This window comes from Homo sapiens, chromosome 1 (genome assembly GCF_000001405.40).
Source record: "Homo sapiens chromosome 1, GRCh38.p14 Primary Assembly".
NCBI lineage: Eukaryota > Metazoa > Chordata > Mammalia > Primates > Hominidae > Homo > Homo sapiens.
In genome coordinates this window covers 100,346,469-100,367,018 of record NC_000001.11, presented here as the reverse complement: position 1 = coordinate 100,367,018, position 20,550 = coordinate 100,346,469, and the positions used below count along the sequence as shown (strand labels likewise).

Genomic DNA, 20,550 nt, shown 5'->3' with positions numbered 1-20,550 from the left:
TGTCTTGGCAGAGGGGAGTAGTCTTTTGGTCTCATGTGGCCAGGGAAAAACACGGACATTTTATTATTTCAGAGTACCCGTGCGTTCATCTCCAAATGAATTAACAAATGAACGAATGATTCTCTCCACCTATTTGCAGATTTCTTCTAAGAAGATTGGCAAATTATGGGTCAATGCCTACAATGAAACTCATGAACTATTAAGGGAAAATCGGTCCATCCATCTTTTTATTCAGTAAGTGTAAATAGCTAAAATCAAACCCTTTTCTGTTTTGACAGGAAAGAAACTAAAAGAATTGGAGCATTTGGAGTCCTGCAAGTGGAGGAGGAAGGAGGTTCATCTCCTTACCAGGAGAACAAAGAAACAGGAGCCCAAGGATCAGAGCAAACATTCACAAGGGTAGGATCACCCACCACCCCACAGGTGCAGGTCCTACAAATTTGAAGGGACATAGAAGCTGGGCCTAAAAGCCTTGCTGTCATACTCAACATGTGCAGCTCTTCTCACAGATTTATGAAGTTTATGATGTACCATTATTTTGTCTTCGGTTTTTCTAATAAACTATAATTTAAGTGAGTCAATTCCCAGAGGAATCATTGTTTGAAGTATTGTTATACCTTATTCTACACATTAGAAGCTTCATGTGAAAATTCCCAACACCTCAGCAAAAAGATAAGCTACATTCCAAGAAGTACTCATTCATTCAACAAAATTTATGACTACCTATTCTGAGCAAGGCATTACTAGTTAGCATATTCATCACAGAGTACTTGCAATACAAAAAAAATTAACTGCTTTAAAAACAGGATGAATAAATTCTATAAGATCGTTATAAGGCATGCCAACCTTTCAATGTTTTACCAGCACTGCTGACGTTTTTTGTCTCTTCATTCACTTGCTCACTCAAATAGTTACTAAAAGCCTATTGGTCACCAGTCCCTACCCACAAGGAGCTCACTATCTACTGAGAAGACAGGTAAAGACATTATTACAATGTGATAAATGCTAAAATAGCAGTATCCTCCAAAACACAATGAGACCGTGTGTGTGTGTGTGTGTGTGTGTGTGTGTGTGTGTAAAATTTTGTTGAAATTGATCAGCAATGCCTCTGGGCCACACATTACCTAACAGTTTCCCTATCACTAGAATACTATCCGCACCCCTCCAGTCAGATGATAAAGTTTCTGTATGAGACGTGATTATTATGGCTGAACTCATAATGATCACATTTTAAAAAGGTCCTAACTGCATAACAAATACCAACCTCAGATGAGGGCACTAGTCTGAGTTTTTGCTCAAGCCCTTTAGCATAACCACCCACAGTCACACTGATGCCAACTTCTTGGGGAAGAGTTGCTGCACATCTAACAAGCTTCCCACACACACAGCAGTCTGATGCAGAACTAAAGATCACTGGGTGCCAAAAGGTTCCAGTCCCAATTTGGTCACTCAGTGTCCCTAATCTGGTGTCGTAGCCTCTCTGGGACTCCACGTCCTCATCTATCAAATGAAGCCACTGAATTAGATGGCTCCTAAAGTTCTTTCCAGCTCTTATGTAATATCATATATCACAGTTCTAGCCGCTATATAGACTCTACAGAGTCTATGACTCTAGTTATCCTTATTGGACAAACCCATTCAACTGTTCAAATGTTTCTCAAGGTCTACTTGCCCTATTTGATGTTCTCTGTTCTGTCTGTCCTCTCAGTGCATTGGGTCTGGGTACAGAAAACATTTCCCTCAGAGTGTCTCCTCTTTGAGGAAGGAAAAGAACACAACTTTTTCCATGAAATTCACTGTTTTCTGCACAGCCAGAAAGCAAACCCACAGACTACAAAGCAGCTACATGTATTAGGAAACTTATCATCTTTATTACTTACTTGTCTGCAAAAAGTCTGACATTTGTTGAGATCATAAAGGAAGGAGAGAACCCCAATATCAACTATCAATCCTGTCCCTTGATGCATTGTCTAGATTTCTAAGAAAGTTCAGGTTTACAACACCAGAGGGTGAGGAACCATTCTCCACTTATTACCTTCTTAACCCGAGGTAAATACTGGTCAGGTCAGGTGTCAGCTGCTGTTTCTGTAAAATAAGTGAGTGCTTTCACTTTGCCTTAAAGCCAAACAACAGACCAGATGGTATCAAGAAACCTTCCAGTATCAGGGTCTGTAATTCTAACATCCCTCGTTAGAGAAGGTCAGTTAATAAAAACTCCCTTAGAGACTCAGATTAACGAAAACAAAAGGAGACTTCTTCAGGAATGCACTGGGAAAATTAAAATTCACTCCCACAGAAATATTCTCAAGCAGTGTAAATTAACTCCATTATTCAATGGCTAGTACTGAAGGCAGGAGAGCTATACAGACAGTATATGCAAAGCTTTGTTAGAAAACAGAATGATGAGCGATTCCCCCATACATAAAAGGCTAACCCTCAGATTTCATAAAGTGGCTGAGGCTCTCAAAAGGAAAATAATTACTCTAAAATTTGTGGTGAGGATCACAGGGCCGGGGGCAACGGCTCCGCCTGTAATCCCAGCACTTTGGGAGGCCGAGGCGGGCGGATCACGAGGTCAAGAGATTGAGACCATCCTGGCCAACATGGTGAAACCCTGTCTCTATTAAAAAAAAAAATACAAAAATTAGCTGGGTGTGGTGGCATGCACCTGTAGTCCCAGCTACTTGGGAGTCTGAGGCAAGAGAATCGCTTGAACCTGGGAGGCAGAGGTTGCAGTGAGCCGACATCGGGCCACTGCACTCCAGCCTGGCAACAGAGCGAGACTCCATCTCAAAAATAAAAAATTAAAAAAAAAAAAGATGATCATCCATAATGATGAAGTCTGTGTATGACAGAAAAAAAGTAAATTGTGATCAATAAATTTTTTTTTTGTGACAGGGTCTTGATCTGCCACCTAGGCTGAGTGCTGTGGCATGCTCATGGTTCACTGAAGCCTCGACCTCCTAAGCTCAAGTGATCCTCCCACCTCAGCCTCCAGAGTAGCTAGGACTACAGCCATGTGGAACATGCCTGGCTAATTTTTGTATTTTTTGTAGAGACAGGGTTTCAGCATGTTGCTCGAGCAATCTGCCCACCTTGGCCTCCCAAAGCGTGGAATTAGAAGCGTGAGCCACTATGCCTGGCCAGTAAATTCTTTAAGAAGGCAGAAATGTATATTCATTTTAGAAAGGTTTCCGTAAATTATTCAAATTATAAAACTTTGATATTTCAGAATGTAATTTTCCAATTCTCTGTAGAAGCTGTCTCACTGAAATGCCACATATCCAGATACACAAAACTGAATAAATGCATTACTAAAGTACATCAATCATGGGGACCAAATTTGAAATAAACTACCTTTTCCAGTTCTCAAAAGAAAATTAAATTTTATAAAAAAAAAAAAAGAGAAGTCTAAACTGGCAAATTCTTCAATTTGTCACTAGGATGTGAAAATATTTAAGACCAAAAAATTAAATTAACAATAAAGGAAATATCTTATTCAAATTTATAGTTTACACAAATTATTTCTTATAAAGGAATTCACTGTCAACAACAAATAATTGTGATCATTTACCAGATGTTTTTGATATACGAGTTAAAAAGAAATTACTTAGGCAGGTACTGAGGGTTCGGGAGCCCTCGGTAAGGGTTTCCTTTTAATGAAAAGCAGCCCTAAAATCATTTTCTCTTTTAACAAACAGCAGCCTGTAAAAGAGAGCTGCACACGTAAACAAGCAAGCTGGAAACTTGCACAGGTGAATGTCGGCAGTTGTGCCAGTAGGAATACTACTACCTGGGACTAGGCATGTTCAAAATGGCAGCTCCATCTTCTCTTTTTGCCAGCCACATGTACAGTGAGGAGCAGACAAGACGGCACTGGCCGAGTGGAAAGTCCATTTGCATAATAAGATTAGGGTGGGGTGATCAGCCTTCCCCACCCACTACGTAAACGTCACACCTGGTTGAACCAATCTGCGGGCCCTATGTAAATCAGACACCGCTTCCTCAAGCCAGACTATAAAACCTGTTGCGGTCAGCTGCAGGCCCGCTTTTCCCTTTGGACTCCTCTGTCTCACAAGAGAGGGAGAGCTACTCTCTCCTCTGTCCTTTCTTCTGCCTATTAAAGTCTCTGCTCCTTAACCCACTCACGTGTACCTATTGTTAATCTTCGATGAGATGAAGAACCCCGGGTATTTACCCCAGGCAACAATGCTGCTTCATTTTCAAGTTGTCAAGAACTGGGGATGTTACATATTTTTAATAAATAGAGCAATATTTTTGATGACTCTCAATCCACATAAAATTCTTTGGTGCTCCTGGAAGTATTTCGTTGATTAAAACAAACCAATATATTTTTTAAGTAAATTGAAACTAAAGCTTTAAAAAGAATTATTCACAGCTCTACTTTGCTTCAGTAATGTGAATTGGAACAACTTAAAATGACAAGACATAGGAAACAACCAAAATGACCAAAGAGAGAAAAATGTTCAATACAGTATGGTATATCCTTTCCCCGAAATATTATTAATATAGAGACATTTATGGTGATTTTGAAAAATGGCATTGGTTTACAATGCTCATGTATGATTAAAAAAATCAGCATTTAAAACTGCATATACAAAATTATGCCAATTAAAAATTTATAGCACTGTAGGTTTGAATTTCTTCATTGTAGAAAAGCAATATTCTTTGAAAAATTAAAAAAAATATTTCTAAGACACAATGAATTTCACAATTCAGTATAAAAAATTCAGCTCAAATCACAAAGCCAGAAAGGAACTTGAGATCAGTTGTGCCACTTACCTCCCCACATTTTAAATATCCAGGACAGACACGGTCTATTTTCCGCTTAAAGATCACAAAAGACAAAGACTCCATTATAATGACCCCCTTTTTACTTCCTATCTCCAATCCTCAAAACAAAACAGAATAGCAAAAAGGCAGTTTCCTTCTGATTTACGTACCTCACCTACTTAAAGGTGTCCCTCTCTCCCAGTCACCCAAGCCAGAAACTTTGAATTCACCTTTGCTTCCTCCTCCCTACCCGCATCTGCTCAGTCCCAAATCCAGTCAACCAATTCTTTCCAGCCTCTCCCCATCTGGCCTTTCTTTCCCCACTGCTGCAACCCTAATCCAATTCTTCCATAGCCTAACTGACCCCACCTTCGAGCGATGGCAGCACTCGTCCTAAAGTAGAGCCCTGGTCACTCTCTGCCATTTACAAGCAAGCACAATTTACTGACATCCAAACAGTTTTCCACAATCCAGTCCCCAACTAAGTGACTGCTGCTGTGACCTGTGACTCCTCTCCATTCAAATATTATTACACCTCCTCTAACAGAATCTTGCTATTCCCAAACACCTCTTGTGCCTTTTCTCAGGACTCTGCCTGAAATCTTTTTCTTTCCTTTCTTCCTCATTCACTTACTCACTCATTCATTCATTCAACTAAAATTTCTTGAGCCCCATATCTATGCCAGGCACAGTGCTAGGTGTTGGGACATAATGGTGAGCAAAAACAGGTAGTACTGGTCCTCACAGAGATCATAAAATGTACTCTTTGCTATTATACACCCTTCAAAAACTAGCTCAGTGCTTATCACCCTGGGTAGCAATAATCTCTTCCTTTCTTGAACTCCTAACACATACATTTGCAGCTTTGGTCATGTATTATCCTGTACTGCATGTGTTTCTACTTCCTTCTTTACAAATACATATCTCCAAAGCATTAGTACAGTGTTCTGCATCAAAATCTATCCCATCTAAATACTAAGTTTCTTGTATAGCAATTTTCAACCACTTATGAAAGTTTTAAGTTATGCTTTTCACTTCCCATAAAAATGTGTCAAGAGTTTTGTGAGGCTTGTGTTTTAGTTTTTAGTTTTTTTGTTTTTTGTTTTTTGTTGTTTTTTTTTTTTTAAGCACAAAGGGGTATTGAGCTGTGGCTAAGTAAAAGTCATTTACTTCTGGCTTGGGAATGTGTTTATGAACTTACAAATGAGAACATCTGATGTCTTAGGAATCTACTTCAAACAAAATAATGAAGCCGCCCTGTGGTGACCTGGCACAGAAAGAACTTGGAAGGCTGACAGCTCCCCACTGGGATCTCCTGCAGCCCACTTGGAGCTCTCTCTCAGGCTGCATGATTATGACTAGCCCTGTTAAGATAACTCTCCTTAGCACCTCGGCTACATTTTTTGTTTTCACAGCCTTATCTCAAGCAAACTGAAAAAACAGAGTAATAATTTATCATTATGAAGATTAGAGATCAACTCTACACCGAATGCCTAAGAGGTCAAAACAGCAGATATTTAAATAAATCATTATCTAGAAGGTAAATTTGATTCCCCTGGATTACAGAATTAAGAACTGTGGGCCAGGCACGGTGGCTCACACCTGTAATCCCAGCACTTTGGGAGGCCGAGGCAGGCAGATCACTTAAGGCCAGGAGTTCGAGACCAGCCTGGTCAACATGGTGAAACCCTGTCTCTACAAAAAAATACAAAAATTAGCAAGGCATGGTGGCATGCACCCATAATCCCAGCTATTCGGGAGGCTGAGGTGGGAGAATTGCTTGAACCCCGGAGGTGGAGGTTGCAGTGAGCCGAGATTGCCCCACTGCACTCCAGTCTGGGTGACAGAGCAAGACCCTGTTTCAAAAAAAAAAAAAGAACTAACTATGAATGTACACAGATATATCTACTTCCTCTTAACATATACTACATCATAACACTGGCTGTCATGTGTTCAAAACAGAAGGTGAAAAAGGCTAGGCACAGTGGCTCATGCCTGTAATCCTAGCACTTTGGGAGGCCGAGGCAGGCAGATCACGAGGTCAGGAGATCAAGACCACCCGGCCAACATGGTGAAACCTCGTCTCTACTAAAAATACAAAAAAAAAAAAAAAAAATAGCTGGGTGTGGTGGTGCGCGCCTGTAATCCCAGCTACTCAGGAGGCTGAGGCACGAGAATCGGTTGAACCCAGGAGGCGGAGGTTACAGTGAGCTGAGATCGCACCACTGCACTCCAGCCTGGCAACAGAAGGAAACTCCAACTCAAAAAAAAAAAAAAAAAGAAGAAGGTGAAAAAAAGCAGCCCTGAACAATATTACTTTTCCAAGGTTTGGATGAAGAGAAGAAAAAGGGGGGAAGAAACTATAAACTACCATCTTTTAGAAAGTAAACAGTTTTCTGAGGGTTTTTTTTGGAGAATACCTTAAAAAAAAAAATCACCTTAAGTTACACCAGGTAAGCAGCCAGAACATTTCACCAGACAGCCTACAAAAGCAGTTATCATAGGCTTATAAAAACTGGGCTTCTTTCGTTTTCACGTGTCCTACAATTAACTCAATTTCTTTCCTCTCTTTCTTTTTGGTAGTGCACTGATAGGAAAAAAAAGGCAAAATTATACCCCCCAAAAGTGAAATTACAAAGAAAAATGTTTAAATTACCACCACACATTCCCAGATAGGAGCTGGTCATAGTTTGTGCATATACTGTCAGTGGCACATTTCCCCCAAGAGCCATCACCACCCAAGTTAGAGGGATCAAGTCTGTCAGGAAGGGGCAAAGTTGTCCCATACCCTCCCCATTGGCATCAGTCTCAGGCCAACTGGGAAATGCCTGGACTCCAGGGTGGACTGCCTCTGGCTTGCATCCCTGCTCTGCCTTACCAGCTCAGTGACCTTAGGCAATATACTTCCCTCTCTGGACCTCTACTTCCTCCTTTGTTAAGTAGTGATAATAACAGCATCTAACTCCTAGGCTTGTTCTGAGGATTAATTGAGTTAATGTGTGCGTGTAAACCACTTAGAACACTGCCTGGCACAGGGCTATACATGTTAGCTGCTGCTGCTGCTGCTGTTGTTGTTGCTATGGCTTTATTATTATTCCCACAATGAAATTTGTCTCGAGGTTCAACCAAATCTCCTCTTCTGTCTATATCATAGCAATTTATAATGAGAATTGAGGTTCTAAATGATGACCGTAAGGCTCTATCAGATCATATATATGTGTATGTGTGTATATGCTTAAGTGGCATTCAACCTTCCATTAAATTATCCTACTTGCTATACATTTAATTTGAAATAAAAATTTAAAAACCAAAAGGGTTTCTCCTGACCTACCTCTAACCTAAATATGCATTCCCACAAATATTTCTAGGCAAGAGTAGTTTTTCCATGCTTCTCTCATAAATATTCTATGTTCACATTTTGACTCAAAACTATGCTATAGACAAGATAAAAGAAATCATTTTTCTATAAATTACTTATCCAAAACTTCCTGGATGCATTAATATCAGGCTGCTTTAATTAAGTTTAAATGAAAATTGAATGTTTTAAATTATTTAAATCTTCCATTTAGCTAATTAGTTCTCATTAGAGGCTGCTCATTCTTAACATGCTAAAACATTTGGTGAAATTCTTCAAGTCACTTCAGAAACTGCTTAAAATTCAGTCCCTAGAGTTTCTCCCTAAAGAGCTCTTTCCTGCACTTTCAATACCTTTCTTCACAACTCAAAAAGAGAAGAAATGACAATGGACAGGCTGAAAATGAAGACCCTATACACTATCCTTCCCAGCAAACTGGCTTTCTATGCCATGAACATCCAACCCTACACCCATGACCACCACTAGGAGGGGCACACAGATGTCATAACAAGTAATATATTTCATTTCACTAACTTTTTAGCCACACAAAAGTAAGCCAAGTTATTAAAAGTAAGCGCCTGTTTGGATTACGGGGCCCAATTCCAATACCAAAGAACAAGCCTTTCCAGGGAGTGGTGTGTTATTTGTAGCTTAATCAAATGCAGATAAATCTTCTTTGAAAGGCTCCCTTTTTGTGGAGCTATTTTTGTACCACTAGTGTGTTAGCCTATACTTTGATTTTAACTCTGACCTGTGAAATCATAACCCAAGGACAAAGGATGATTTCTTATCATCCTCATTTTATTAAAGCTGCCCAGGCCTTTATAGTAATAAGTTCTGTTTTAAAAAATCAAGCAGATAATTCAAACGTTCACTTTTAATAGCCTTACCTCATGAGGCCACCTCATTAAATTTTCTCCACCAGCATCTCAGAAGGTTGACATTTCAATCATGGAATGCTGTCCTCCTTTCATAACTAAAGAAACATCTGCGCAAAACACAGCTGTGGCCAGAATATCCACAGCCTAATATTTAAAGAGTCTACTTCCTGATTCAAAAACAATCGCTTCTAAGGTGATAATTTAGCCAGAAAAGCAGCATTTCTTTCTTTTTTTTTTTTTTTTAAGAGATGGGGTCTCACTATGTTGCTCAGGCTGGCAGGCTGGCTTTTCAGTTCAACTGCAGGCCTCAAGCAATCCTGTCGCCTCAGCCTCAAGAGTAGCTGGGACTACAAGCACACCCAGCTGGAAAAGCAGCATTTAATTTAAACATTCAGCAAATAATTACACAGTACAAAGGCCTGTGTGATAATGAATATAAATATATTCTTCTCCTCAGAGACATGCACATTATGATGTGATAGTCAAAATCTTTCTCGCTGTAGGACGTCCTCCAGACAGAGCCCGGGTTACTAGACATCCTTCTAGGGGCTTTGCAGTCTCTCTCATTCTATACTTCCCCAAAGTGGAGCTGACGAGATGGAGTCAGTCCTTCTCCCTTTCTCCTTTCCCCTTCAGTGTTTGTCCACCTCTTTGTTGCGTACTTCCACCTTCCCTTGCTCCTCCCATCCTGGTTCTACTTGTGAAATACAGACCTTGAGACCTTCTCTATCTTCCCAGAAATCGCATCATTCTCACAGCTTTATTAGTCTCTTTGGGAAAATTCCCAAATTTAAGAACCTCAAATGTATGTGATATCTAACAGTGATGTAAATATCCCTTAAATTTCTTAAATTCAATCTGGCCAAAATGGAATGCCTGATCTTCCCACCAAAGCCAATTATTCCACCCTCCTTCCTTATTTCAGTTAAGAGCTCCAGTAGGCTCACCACAACCTAAGCTGTCTTAAGGACTTCTTTGATCCCTCTTTTTCCTCAGCACCCCTCCACGCCACCCTCCTGTGTTGCCAGGTCACATGGCTTCAGATCGCTTCTTTCCATCACCATTGTCACCATCCTAATCCAGGTACTTGTTTCTTTCCCCTGAATTTTTTTTTTTTTTTTTTTTTTTTTAGACAGAGTCTTGCTCTGTAGCCCAGGCTAGAGTGCAGTGGCGCAATCTCAGCTCACTGCAACCTCCACCTACCAGGTCCTGGTTCAAGCAATTCTCCTGCCTCAGCCTCCCAAGTAGCTGGGATTATAGGAACACGCCACCATGCCCAGCTAATTTTTGTATTTTTAGTAGAGACGGGGTTTCAACATGTTGGCCAGGCTGGTCTTGAACTCCTGGCCTCGTGATCCACCTGCCTCGGCCTCCCAAAGTGCTGTGATTACAGGCGTGAGCCACTATGCCTGGTCCCCCCTGAATTTTTTTAAGTGGGCTCTTATCTCCTTAACAACCCCTCTTAAATGATGCTACTGTATTAATTTTTTGAGAAGGATATATGTCCTCTGCAACTAGATGACTTGGTTTCAAACTCCAGCTCTGCTACTTTTACTTCTGTGACCTTGGGCAAGTGACCCAGCTTCTCTATGCCTTTTTGTACAATAAGGATAATAGTGCCTGTCTCACAGAATTGTTGTGAAAACACAATGAATTAATAGTTATAGAGCACCTAGAACAGCATCTGGCACACATTTAAATGCTCAATAAATGTTTCCCATTGTTTGTAATTAGCACAAATCAAGTCATACCATGGCTGCCCCAAATCCCTCAAGAGTCCCATGGTGTACCAAAGAAACTGCAGGTTTCTCACCCTGACATTCATTCTGTCCCCAGCCAACATCTCAATTTCACATTCTCCATCCCCTACATGTTCCCTGAATACACACCAGGCAAACTGGAGGACTTACTGTTCCCTGAACACACGTCCCAAGCCTCTCCCCTCCTCACACTTGCTGTTTTCCAAGATCCCTCCTCTCATGTCTCTGCCTGATAAGACCTTGTCCATCCTTCAAGCCAATCTTAACTCTTCCACGAAGCCTTTGCTGAACGCTTCCACCAGATGTGCCCCTACCTGCCTGTGAATGCCTCTCCTAGCATAGAGGTTGTATTTCTCTTTGGGCAGGTATCTTTCCTATACCTCAAACTGCAGTTCTGTTATTTTCCCTACAGGCTTGGAGCTCTTTGAAGGTAACATATGCATTCAACATTGTTTTATTCTCTGCATCACCTAGCACCATGTAATATGTTGGGGTAACAAAAAAGATGGAGTTGGAGGTGTCAGAGCCACAGCCATTACTGTGGCACAGTAGGGTAAGTTCAAACTAAGAAAAGTACACACTCTGCCCAGGCTGAAGTCCTCATCGTATTTCAAATGTCAATCCCAACTCACAATATAAATTGGATGGATTCTCCAGCAAGTCTTTCCTTATAAGATACCAGAAAAACAGTAGACTATAAGAGGAATATGATTTGTAGGCCTATCCCAAAATACCAACATGAAAATCACATTAAAAATTTCCCTCATCTATCAATATTAAAATCAAAAAGCCATCATGCACAGTGTTTAGTTTGGCTTAATTTTCTGCTAGATCTACCACCTAGCAATCCCAAGAGAAGTGACTCAGATCTCCATGGCTAGAGCTCATTCAATGACATATTAACAACCACTGTACTGTAGAATTGAACATAATGATATATACACCATCCCCACTCTCAGACTCATGAGAGACCCCCAAAACCTAAAATCACAAAAACAGAGGCACAACAATGCACATTCCCAACAACAGAGTGAACACTCAATAAACACTGCTGGCAGTGACATCATCCAGGTACACAGCCGCACATAACTCCATCCTGTCTAGAAGCAGAGCTGTAATCTGACACCAGGGACTCAGACCTCTTTGCCTCAGCAACTCTGGGCATTCATGAGCAGCAGCAAAGGGCTCTTTCATTCCCACTCTTACTTTAGCCATTCAAGAAGCATTCTCCTCCCAGCACCACTAAGAGAAATGTCGCAGACCTCAGTTTCAAGAACCTCTATGATGAAGTGACAAAGATTGTTTTCCCCCAAATAAAAGATATGCTCTTGAAGGTCCAGAACACTTACTCTTCGAAGACCTGGTAGTACCCACAAATCCTTAGGCAGAACTGCCAATAACCTTTCTAACAAGACAAGTCCAAGGAAGCTAATTATGATTAATTTAACTATGTTCATTTATCTGCACATTTGGTAAAGATAACAAGTAATTTAAACGTTTAAAATAGAATATATTAGACTCCTCTGAAACACCAGCTCTTTTCATAAAAGTACATAACCAAGTCAATTCAGCCTTCTTATTTCTTATTATCTGATACTTTTACTGAATAAAGATTTATCTCTCTTCAATTAATGTTTTACTATGCCTGAAGTATTAAGATATCTTTTTCCTGTAGATCAGTGGTCTTTCACAGAAAACAGTTCCCTACTTTTATTTTACACTCTCAAATCCTAATCCCACAGAAGCAAAGTAATCAAAGAAAATAAATCAGCACTGCTATATCATTTCCTTAGAAGCAAAGAAAATAATATCAAAAAGTTTGGGGTACCCAAATAAAAGAATCAATAATATGTCAGATAAAATGTTAGTCATAAATGTGACTCTGATACAGCTCCCCGCAGTTAATGTGTCCCACTTTCTGAAAAAGAGCTGCACAAACAAAAACATCCTGAGATAGAACAGAAGTCTTGTAAACTATAAAGCTCAAGCACCTGTAATACATGCACTGCCCTGTACCCTATGGCCACTCCATAAATACTTAGTGACTGATTCACAGGCCAATTACTGAGTCTGGCAATGACAGTGTGTCTCCCTGGTCCTACTCTGGGGAATGTTAGGAATCTCCAGTTGCTGTTTGTTGTGGTGGTAGGAAGAACTAAAACAGATAGATGTCTAAAAGAACTGAAGTGTTGAAAGGTTCAAATTCTGTCAATTTTCTCTGAACTTCTCCCCAGGCACCTGAGTCTTAAAAAATTGATATTGTTACTCGTATCATTGGGGGGGAAATGAATAAAACTGCCATAAAAGTGCATAGTGTTTCCTCGTCAAAGAACAAGCTGAATGGCCAAGAGAAAAAAAAACAAAACATAAACTTACTTTTCATAGACCAGCTCCTCATCGATGGAGAAATAGTGGGTATTTACTGTGCTTTTTGGTCTATTCCTTAAAGTAGCAAAATATAACCGATCTGAAAGACAAGTTTAAAAGACAGAAAAAACATATGAGAAGTAGAGAAGTGGAAGTGAAGGTGGGTGGTAACATACGAAGGATCACAATTTAAAGACCCCATTAACACGTGGAATTCTTGCAGAAACCTCATCCCTCCCAGAAAGCTAGAGACTCAAGAGCACAACAGTTAGGCAAGAGGAGGACCTGACCGAGGAACTCAGCGGGGCTCAGAGCACCCACATTTCCCTTGTTTCAGGCCAGCAGAGTAGGCAGGAGCTGGGGGTACCCGCAGAACTGGAGGTGCAAGTTTGGTTCCCAAATCTCCAGACCTCAGCAGCTGCGAGAAGGGGAAGAAAGAGGTGAGCCTCCCGACGCAGCTTCGGAGATTTGAAAAAGAGGAAGGGAGAGAGACTTGGGGGGTGTGGTTGGGGGTGTCCCGAAAACCGAAGCCTGCGATGGTGGAGTAAAGGTGACCGGTGAGCATCCGGAGCAGGCTCCCCATGAGCTGCTGAGTGCCGGAGTACGGGCAGAAGCCGGTGCTGTCCCATTACGAGGCCGAGAGGCCATCCGAGGGAGCTGCAGAGGGAGCAAGGGACACAAGAAAGAGAAGCCGGAAGCAGGGGGTCCTCGGAGAAAGGAGAGTCCCTAGAGGGGACGAGAGCGCGCGCAGCGGCTGCAGGACACTGGCAGCCTCAGGAGAAGGTGGGGACAGTGGCGCGGGAAGTGAAGAGTTGGGGGCAAGAAAGCGTTGGAAGATGCGGGGCGGCTGCTCCTCACCTTTCATGAACTCACAAGCCCCGATTAGTTCCCCTGACTCCGCTGCCATCTTAAGCGAGATACGCACGGGGGAGGGCTGGGTCGTGGCCAGCTGAAGTCACTCGCCCCCGGGGGCTTCCCCACTGCCCAGGAGCCAGGAAGCTCACAGTCCCGAACAACAAGCCTGGCCGAGGGAGGCAGCAGGCGCCGAAGGCGGAGGCGGCTTCGGGGTCAGCGCGCCGGGCGCCCCGGGGACATTCCGAGGGGAACCCGAGCTCGCTCCGCGCGGGGCGCTCACGCCCCTGGCTGTGGCCGCTCCTATTTGGACTCGGCTGCTGCAGCTGCTGCTCCGCCGCCGCCGCGCCTGGGAAACGCAGACCAGCTCTCAGGGCAGGGCAAAGTCTTCCCCCGGCTTCCAAAGTGATCATGGAGGAGGAGACTTCTGGTCCCGATCGCGCCCGTGGCTACTCGAGCGGCAGCCGGGAGGACTTCAGTGCCCGCGGGCTGGCAGCAGCTGCTCCGGATCCTCCTTCGCCACCTCCTTTCAGCAGTTACTCTTCCTCCTCCTCCTCCCCCTGGGTCCGCCCCCAGACCTTCCTCCCCGCCCTCCCTCAGCCCCCTCCACTTTCACGACTCCGCGGCCATCCCTTAAAGGGACAGCCCCGCTCCTTTCTCCGCAGCAGCCCCAGTTACCAGGCGCCCCGCGGGTCACTAGGAGCCGGTTGCTAAGGCTTTGTTGCCGTCCACCAATTGCTGTTCAGGAAACGGGGCCCTCGGCCCAGGGGAGCGGGCGGGGCCTGTAGGCCAGAAACTTATGAATGAAACGGCGGGGTTGAGAGTGGACATCGCCAAAGGCGCTGTCGCGGCCTCGGAGGCTAGGATGTGCTGGCGCCCCCTTTCTTTTCTGCACCCTCTAAGTCTTGTCCCACTCCAGATTTCTTTTCTCTCTCTCTCTCATTCTCTTTCTTTCTCGCCCACTCACCCATGCTCTTCTAAACTCTTGTAGGGCGCGCGCGCGCGCACACACACACACACACACACACACACACACTCGTAAAAACCTCAGATCTCCGTGCCCTGCCTCGCCTCTAGCTAACATTTCAGCCACCCCCCACGCCCAACACTGAGGGGGTCTGCATCTTTATAAAAAATACAATTGAAAAAGAAGCACCAGCTCCTAGCTCACAGTACATGTATTGGTTTCCTCTACACATACCAGACTCTGATATAACTTGTACTTTGTTCTCACGGGACAAAAAGTTTCCCATCTGGTTCTCCACGCCCTCTCATCTGGGCCGCCAATGTGAGCGCAAAAGCATCACAGATGCCTAATCTTTACAGTGCTCCGGTCCCGGAGGGGCGGGGCGAGACCGCTGAGCCAGCCTGGGCGGGCGCGGAGGGAACAGGAGAGAGAGGAGAGTCCACTGGTCCAAGGAGGAAGGTTAACACAAAGGAATTTCTTTACATAGTCTCAGCTGAAGCGCTCCAGGCAGGAGTCCCGCTAAAAGAGGCCATTGACTTGTCTCTGCGAGGCTCTACGTACTGTTTGAACAACTTGAACGCTGGGCGTCCTAAGGCTGTACCTAATCAGAGTGCAGTCCCTTCCATACGAAAATGGCGCTACAGACCGACTATCCGAAGAGCATGCGCTCTGAGAGGTCTCTCCAGAAACAGCAAGAAACTTGTGGCGGCGTTTTCCTTCGCAGTCGCTTGTTGACCTCTAGGGAGAAAGGGGGCGCACCCGTGCAGAGCTGACTGAGGGAACCAGCCCTTCGAGGGCCAATTGCAGGTTTTGTTTGTGGTTTTTTTTTTTTTAATGTGTGTTTTGTTTTAGACAGGGTCTCGCTCTGTCACCCAGGCCGGAGTGCGGTGGCTCAATCTCTGCTCACTGCAATCTCCACCTCCCGAGTACAAGCGATTCTCGTGCCTCATTCTCCCAAATAGTTGGATCTACAGGCGTGCGCCACCACACCCGGCTAATTTTTGTATTTTTTGTAGAGACCGGGTTTTGCCATGTTGGCCAGGCTCGTCTCCAGTTCCTGAGCACAAGCAATCCGCCCTGCCTTGGCCTGCCACAGCGCTGGGATTACAGGCTGAGCCACCGCGCCAGGCCTCAAATTATTTTATTGAAAAAAAATCTAGTATTTCTTATATGAAAGATAGGGAAAAACAAAGTATATGAATCTCTCGATAAACTTGCCCACTTTGTTTAAAAGGCTAAATAAATCCAAAGATGTTGTTGTATTTCCGAAGATGCTGATTTAAAATTCTTGCATAATCTAAATTCAAATTCCCCAACAATTTTTCATTAAAAAGTGCGTTAGAAATAGAAGTCAGAGTTCTCATTCAGTTCATAAACTTTTAATTGCACAAAGTAAATAGTCTAATGAACTCCAATCTACACTTTCAGAGAAGCCAGATATAGTTGAACACCTTCTTGTTATTTTCCAAAATGAATTTACAAAAATCTTTTATATAACTCTCCTGCTTAAAATTGTGATCATGAGGAATGAATTATGACCTAACAAATACAAGTCCTTAAATTCAAATGAAAATGTTTATTTTTCCTTAGCATTTTTACAAAGATAATAAAACTCTGTAAGTAATTAATGTTTTTTAAAATATTGCATGGGGCTGGTCATGGTGGCTCACACCTGTAATTACAGCACTTTGGGAGGCCAAGGCCTGCGGATCACCTGAGGTCAGGAGTTCAAGACCATCCTGGCCAACATGGCGAAACCTTGCCTCTACTTAAAAAAATACAAAACTTGTCTGGGCGCGGTGGCTCATGCCTGTAATCCCAGCACTTGGGGAGGCCGAGGCAGGTGGATCACCTGAGGGCAGGAGTTCGAGACCAGCCTGGCCAACATGGTGAAACCCCCAACTCTACTAATAATACAAAAAAATTAGCCAGGAATGGTGGCACACACCTGTAATCCCAGCTACTAGGGAGGCTGAGGCAGAAGAATGGCTTGAACCTGGGAGGCGGAGGTTGCAGTGAGCCAAGATCGCATCATTGTGCTACAGCCTGGGTGACGAGCAAAACTATGTTTCAAAAAAAAAAAAATACAAAACTTAGCCGGGTGTGGTGGCACACGCCTGTAATCCCAGCTACTCGGGAGGTTGCAGTGAGCCGAGATAGTGCCACGGCACTCCAGCCTGGGCGACAGAGAAAGACCCCGTCTCAAAAAAAAATTAGCCAGATGTGGTGGCGGGCACCTGCAATCCCAGCTACTCATGAGGCCGAGGCGGGAGAATGGCTTGAACCGGGAGGCAGAGGTTTCAGTGAGCTGTGATTACGTGATTATGCCACTGCACTCCAGCAGTGCAGTGTCTCTGGGTGACAGAGTGAGACCCTGTCTCAAACAAACAACAACAAAATTGCATGGAAGGAAGTGTCAGTATAATCAAATCTCTCTAAGCCATTCTAAATGGTATAGAAAATTCTACAAGAAAAATATGAACTAGATAATGCACACACAGCACACGTATAATACATACCAAGGTTCTAATGAGATCATAAAAACACTTTATTCTCTCAGTTATCCTGAGGTCAAAGTTCCTGTTGGTTGTAGTTTCATAATAAAGGCATACTTTTACAGTCTACAAGGGAAGATAATGGAAGAAAATTTTCCAACCACGAAACTTGATATAAACTTAAGGAATGGACTTTTAAGAAACAATAAAGGCGTTTCACATATAAAGGAAATACTAAGAGAGTTTACATATCGCTCAACTGCACAAAAGGAAGGTAATATTACACACAGAAATTCAGCAGGTAAGTGTAAAAAGTGTCGAGTTTGAAAACAACGCCTTTTTTTTTTTTCTCTAGACGGAGTCTTGCTCTGTAGCCCAGGCTGGAGTGCAGTGGCACCATCTGGGCTCATTGCAACCTCCACCTCCCGGGTTCAAGCGATTCTACTGCCACAGCCTCCAGAGTAGCTGGGACTACAGGCATGTGCGCCACCACGCCGGTTAATTTTCATATTTTTGGTAGAGACAGGATTTCACTATGTTGGCCAGGCTGGTCTCAAACTGCTGACCTCAAGTAATCCGCCCGCCTCAGGATCCCAAAGTGCTGGAATTACAGATATGAGCCACTGCACTCGCCCTGAAAATGACAAAATTTAAATCTAACTCCTCAACCATTGCTTGAAAACTGCTTCAACTACCCTGCAACCCGTGCTTGTGCACCTGCAGTTCTAGAAAACTCACTGCTGGAGGCAGCTCTAAATTATGTCAAAAGCCACTAGTTCTAATTCTGCCTGGAGGCTGCAGGACCTATGATCACCCTTACTCATGACAGCTCTTCAAAAATGCAAAGGCAGTTTCCTTGAACACCTTCCATTTCTCCTTAGTCTTCCCCAGATAAATATCTCCATTTTCTTCTACATTGTCTTATATTACATGGCTTCAAGCCCCTCACTTTCCAGTCCAGTCTCTGCCCATTTGTCCAATTGCTTACTAAGTGGGTCCCAGAACTGGATGCAGACTAGTGATAAACTGGTGTGGCCAGTTCTAAAAAAAGAAAAAAGAATGGATGGAAGATTCAGATGAGAGCAAAAGAAATGAAAAACATAAAAGAATTAAATTTTATCATTTAAACTGGTGTAAGCAGTTCTGAAAGAAAAAAGAATGGATGGAAGATTCAGATGTGAGCAAAAGAAATGAAAAACAAAAGAATTAAATTTTATCATTTAGCTTCAAGAAAAGGAAAATATTCTTTTTTTTTTTTTTTTTTTTGAAATGGAGTCTTGCTCTGTTGCCCAGGCTGGAGTGCAGTGGCACAATCTTGGCTCACTGCAACCTCTGCCTCCCGGGTTCAAGCAATTTGCCTGCCTCAGCCTCCCAAGTAGCTGGGACTACAGGCGTGCACCACCATGCCCAACTAATTTTTGTATTTTTAGTAGAGACGGGGTTTTGCCATATTGGCCAGGATGGTCTCGATCTCTTGACCTCGTGATCCGCCCACCTCGCCCTCCCAAAGTGCTGGGATTACAGGCATGAACCACTGCACCTGGCGGAAAATATTCTTTCTTGCTGGAAGAGGGCAAGGAAAAATGAGCTCAAGATTGTCAAAGGCCTGACAGCTGTGTGGTTTACATATTGTATTATTTTAAAATTATCATCATTTCTTATTAGAATGTATCATTAGAACATACTCTTTTAGTTGTTTGTTCAGTAGTGATACAAAGTTACCAAAGAACGTAAAGAAAATATAGAATACATACTTTGAATTCTTTCTGTAAATTAATTTTCAGATTAAGTATGAAACGTAGTAAAAACCTGTGCCACTGAGTAATTTGAAATTCAAGGTAATTTGAATTATTTATTCATATACATATTTTGACAATTTTTGATCCCAAAAATAATTTTAAGCAGCTTTTAGTAAAATACATGTAATAAAAAAGTTATTACAGTAGAACCAGAATACCAAAAATAGATAGCATGACTCATAAACGGTTCTGTTCCAGAAGTCTGCCCGCAAATGATAAGACCTTAGCCTAACCCAGCCACATTCTGTATCAGACAAATCACCAATGCCTGTTTAAGAATTCCAAACCAGAATCAAAGAAGTAAAAACCAGAAGGGACCTGGGAGATCAGCTAGTTCCAGTTTTCAAACAGACTCCATCAAACTCAAGGGATTTAGCACAGGCCCAATATGGGGGTAGGAGTGGAAGGCAGTGGATGAGCACTCAAGGCTTCTACACAATAGTTCCTTTATAAAAGGTTATATGGCAAAATAAAAGAGAAAAAAAGAGAAGGAGGTAACTGATTTCCCAAACTCACATAGCTGGTGGAAATAAGACCAGTATTCATTATTTGCTGTAGTATCAACAACCTTTTCTTAATTTTTCCCTAGTGAGCTTAAATTACATTGTTTAACTTATAGATTATTACACATTAGCCATAAAGTGTCAATAATAATGTATGCATAATATCTAGAACTATTTTCTTCAAGATATTTAGAGGAAATATTGAAATAATCTCCGAATGAAACAATATAAGATGTTGCATTATCTGCCATTGCTATTGTTTTTGTGTGGCTTCTATAAAAATTTCAATTGTTTCTAACCCTGTGATTTATTAATGGAATGGTATACCAGCATTCTACAAAATACAGTTTAAGAAATACTGGTATAGTGAACATTAAGTAAAACAAGTCAATTCAATATTCATCTCCTTCTTGACTAATGCAGTCAATAAAGAATGGTGCAGTTTTAGAAGGTAAAAGAAAGTTCCATGAGGTCAATATACTTCAGAGTAGTCAATTTATTGTCCAGTTTGCTATACTTAACAAACAAGTTAACAACTCAATACATTTTTTAAATTTTACAGAATTTATCCATCTATATTTATTTGTCATTACTACTTTTTTTTTTTTTTTTTTGAGACAGAGTCTCGCTGTGTCACCCAAGCTGGAGTGTAGTGACACTATCACAGGTCACTGCAACCTCAACCTCCTAAGCTTGAATGATTCCCCCATCTCAGGCTCCAGAGTAGCTGAGACTACAGACATGAGCCACTGCATTTGGCTAATTGTTTAATTTTTT

At 42.4% G+C, this 20,550-nt stretch overlaps 1 protein-coding gene across 6 annotated transcripts in view, besides 6 other annotated features; it reads right to left on the bottom strand.

Moving 5' to 3' along the window:
• Positions 1 to 20,550, bottom strand: part of CDC14A (cell division cycle 14A) — a 175,277-nt gene that overhangs the window by 153,259 nt on the left and 1,468 nt on the right. For 5 of the 6 annotated variants that reach the window (NM_001319210.2, NM_003672.4, NM_033312.3 and 2 more), the window contains exons 1-2: positions 14,016 to 14,513; positions 13,167 to 13,257 (exon numbers count right to left, since the gene is read on the bottom strand). In NM_001319210.2, the coding sequence (NP_001306139.1) occupies positions 13,167 to 13,257; positions 14,016 to 14,064 (140 nt within the window). In that variant the 5' untranslated portion in view covers positions 14,065 to 14,513. Of the gene's footprint in view, positions 1 to 13,166; positions 13,258 to 14,015; positions 14,514 to 20,550 lie in introns of those variants that run through there. The other variant, NM_001319211.2, reaches the window with a different exon arrangement.
• Positions 13,387 to 13,636: an enhancer, noted in NCBI's record as "active region_1382". NCBI's record gives its function as "activates an Ori minimal core promoter by ATAC-STARR-seq in GM12878 lymphoblastoid cells {active_cell/tissue: GM12878}" and the evidence as "EXISTENCE:reporter gene assay evidence [ECO:0000049][PMID:35858748]".
• Positions 13,677 to 13,986: an enhancer, noted in NCBI's record as "active region_1381". NCBI's record gives its function as "activates an Ori minimal core promoter by ATAC-STARR-seq in GM12878 lymphoblastoid cells {active_cell/tissue: GM12878}" and the evidence as "EXISTENCE:reporter gene assay evidence [ECO:0000049][PMID:35858748]".
• Positions 14,567 to 14,616: a silencer, noted in NCBI's record as "silent region_1120". NCBI's record gives its function as "represses an Ori minimal core promoter by ATAC-STARR-seq in GM12878 lymphoblastoid cells {active_cell/tissue: GM12878}" and the evidence as "EXISTENCE:reporter gene assay evidence [ECO:0000049][PMID:35858748]".
• Positions 14,647 to 14,736: a silencer, noted in NCBI's record as "silent region_1119". NCBI's record gives its function as "represses an Ori minimal core promoter by ATAC-STARR-seq in GM12878 lymphoblastoid cells {active_cell/tissue: GM12878}" and the evidence as "EXISTENCE:reporter gene assay evidence [ECO:0000049][PMID:35858748]".
• Positions 15,237 to 15,286: an enhancer, noted in NCBI's record as "active region_1380". NCBI's record gives its function as "activates an Ori minimal core promoter by ATAC-STARR-seq in GM12878 lymphoblastoid cells {active_cell/tissue: GM12878}" and the evidence as "EXISTENCE:reporter gene assay evidence [ECO:0000049][PMID:35858748]".
• Positions 15,327 to 15,756: an enhancer, noted in NCBI's record as "active region_1379". NCBI's record gives its function as "activates an Ori minimal core promoter by ATAC-STARR-seq in GM12878 lymphoblastoid cells {active_cell/tissue: GM12878}" and the evidence as "EXISTENCE:reporter gene assay evidence [ECO:0000049][PMID:35858748]".